This window comes from Homo sapiens, chromosome 2, assembly GCF_000001405.40.
Source record: "Homo sapiens chromosome 2, GRCh38.p14 Primary Assembly".
NCBI classification, from domain to species: Eukaryota; Metazoa; Chordata; class Mammalia; order Primates; family Hominidae; genus Homo; species Homo sapiens.
In genome coordinates, this window is record NC_000002.12 from 161057980 (window position 1) to 161061116 (window position 3137).

Below are 3137 nucleotides of genomic sequence, written 5' to 3' on the forward strand. Positions count from 1 at the left end.
AATTGAAGATTAGTTGTGTTATCTCTATTTTTGTGGGGTTTTTTTTTTTTTTTTGAGATGGAGTTTCACTCTTGTTGCCCAGGCTGGAGTGCAATGGTGCGATCTCGGCTCACCACAACCTCCGCATCCTGGGTTCAAGCGATTCTCCTGTCTCTGCCTCCCGAGTAGCTGGAATTACAGGCATGCACCACCACTCCCAGCTGATTTTGTATTTTTAATAGAAACAAGGTTTCTCCATGTTGGTTAGGCTGGTCTCAAACTCCTAACCTCAGGTAATTCACCTGCCTCAGCCTCCCAAAGTGCTGGGATTACAGGCGTGAACCACTGTGCCCAGCTTGTTATCTCTGTTTCTAGAGCAAAATAGCCCAGTGGTAAAAAGAGCATTTCCTTGAGAATATATGAAAAGGTATTATCACATTTGAAAAGCGTAATTAATATGATAATGTGGAGAAATTAAGGATAAAGCAACCTAAAAAAAACAGGAAGTAATTAAGTGAAGAATACAACATTATTGAACATTGCCAAGAAAACAGACATACAAAAGTTGCAAGTTGTAGCTTGCTTTATGCAATAATGCACTTTGCTGTAAAGTAGCATACCTTGATCTTTTCAAAATCAGACATTTGAAACTTACTAATAGATTTCACTATTTAGAGGCATTCTGTGTGTATATATGAAAAAAAGGTCCTTTATGGTATAAATAATCTATCTAATCATGATCCCGTTGCAGGAATTTCTCTTTCTGTTCCATGGAGTAGTTGCAGACTTTGCAGTCCAGCAGACCTAGGTTCAAGCCAAGCTCTGCTTCATATTGATTATGTGACTTTGGGGGAGTTACTTTACCTTGATGAGCCTCAATTTCCATAACAGTAAAATGGCAACAATATATACAGAATGTCATAGAATTCTAGGCCTATAGAAAATACTTAAGAGTGCCTAGATCATAGTAAAGGCTTAAAAAATGTTACTGACTCCTTCAGGAAGGGGTCAGGGTGTGCATTCTCCTAAGAGGAATCAGATTCCACAGACGTTCAACATGCCAAGGGCAGACTTGACTCTGGTTTAGACACAGAAACCAAGAACACTTAGCTCTAGGAATCCTTCTCCCAGGGAACAACACTTATCTTGGTGGCTCTTTTAGGTATTAAGGATAAATCAGAGAACACTTGGGTGACCAGGAATAAAGAAGCAGCTACTACATCAGTCTCCAGATAAAACCCTAACTCCAAGGAATTTTCCATGAGGCTATTATGACCTGGGCTCCAGCTGGCACTGAACTGTGACCCACCCTGACTCCATCTACCATCCCAACCTCCAGCGCCAGGCTACTGCCACAGGCCTTGCATCCTCACCTGGTCAGCTAAGCTTATTGTTCCCATCTAGAACAAGGAATGCTGCCTAGTCCATCAGATGTGAGGGTTTGATTTTCAAATATCATCTTTCTTAACATTGAACAACATGTGTTTGTACTATAGCAAAAGAAATATGAGTGTGTTCTGGAAAAGCAAACTGCTAGCCTCATCTGAGGCAGGCAATGGGGACAGACATAGTCAGTGTTGGCAATGAGTGGCACAGGGGTTTGGCATAGGTCAGAGAAGGTTGGACACAGCGTGGAACAAGAAGTTGCCTTGTAGTCAAGCCAAGTTAGAATGGCCTGACACCAGAGCAGACAGAGGCCAGGGATCAGGCACTGGTTCATCAAGGAGGGAGAGCTCCAGGCAGAGACAGTCCTGTTTGTGTTCTAGATTTTTATTAGTGAAATTGACCTAGAAGCTTGTAACTTCTAGACTTCTAACTTCAGAGCTTTATAATTCCAGCATTACCTCAGACTCCTCTTGGAGGAGAATCTCTAGATTCTAGAGAAACCATAGTCTTTGTATGCCAGCTGTAGAACTCATGAAATTGGAAAGCATCCTTATGCCCCTATGAATATCTGGTTCCATTTAGTAGGAAGAACAATTGTCTAGCCTGACTGATGCCCCCAGAGAAACACTGTATCTTCATGAAATCATAACCTCATTATCCTTAGAAAATTTAAGAGAATTCAAATTTTCCCCTTCTATTCTTTTCCCCTTTCTCCTCTTCTAAGGCAGGAAGTTAGCATCAGGCTAAAATCCTAAAATATTTAGAGAATAGGCTATTAGAAGGGTGCTGCAAACTGGATTATTGATGCAAACACATGGTCAGGATAAATACGGGGAATGTTTGAAAAAGATACAGGTCTTGAACATACAAGACCTCTGTAACTCAGCCCTCAACACGTATCTGTGGCCATGACACACATGCCTCAATGGCATGTTCAGATTTTAGGATCTGGCCTTGACAAATAAGCACAATGTCAGTGGTGTGGATGCAGGGGAGAAATTCTACTGTCCACTCTCTTGATCCTTGAGGATAAAACGTAGTGTTCTCATGAGTTTCACTAAGGACAGCTCTATTGTAGTAAAGTAAATCATGTCACTTTCAGGCCTTGGAATTCACTTAGAGACAAAAATATATATTTACAATCATCTAGGAACTGTATCCCATTTCTACTCAGTGCTTCAGTACTCTTCATAAGCATCCACAGAAGTCCCTATCTCCTGCACAAAACCAATGAACAACAATTACACTAAACATTCTAAGCCTCCTCTCACTCTCCACTTTTATCTAGAAAACTAACAAGAATTTAAGTCCTATGTTGACCCAACAATGAGTTATACGATGGGGCAGAACACACTCGTATCTCCTTTTCTTGAAATCCTTGTGGAAAATGCATATAATGTCACAGATGGCTTAACAACCTCATAAACAAGACCTGAGAATTTCTAAAACTCTTTAGTTCCTTGTAAGAAAGCCCACATTCCTGTGAAATACAAATAGCTACACAGACATGCCCTGAACCAAAACTTTATTTCCATTTCAAGGAAACTGACACAAAATATCACTCTGAAATGTAGACCTAAGAAAAATTGCAACCCAGATGTTCCATTTTCCTCTCAGCTGTGAATGCCTGAAGCAGGTCTTGCTAATCCTGAGTGCAGGTGAGAGCCGAATTATAATAATGGAAAACACCTGTTGACTCAAACCTCCTCTACTCTAATTTTGACACACTGGCCCCAGGTGGGCCTTTATCACAAAGCACTGGCTCTTCTTCT

The 3137-nt window shown here is 40.9% G+C and overlaps 1 annotated feature.

Moving 5' to 3' along the window:
* Positions 2168 to 2337: an enhancer, noted in NCBI's record as "experimental_54429 CRE fragment used in MPRA reporter constructs". NCBI's record gives its function as "activates a minimal promoter by MPRAs in K562 erythroleukemia cells, with activity observed for both the introgressed and non-introgressed 2:161916743 variant alleles {active_cell/tissue: K562}" and the evidence as "EXISTENCE:reporter gene assay evidence [ECO:0000049][PMID:34662402]".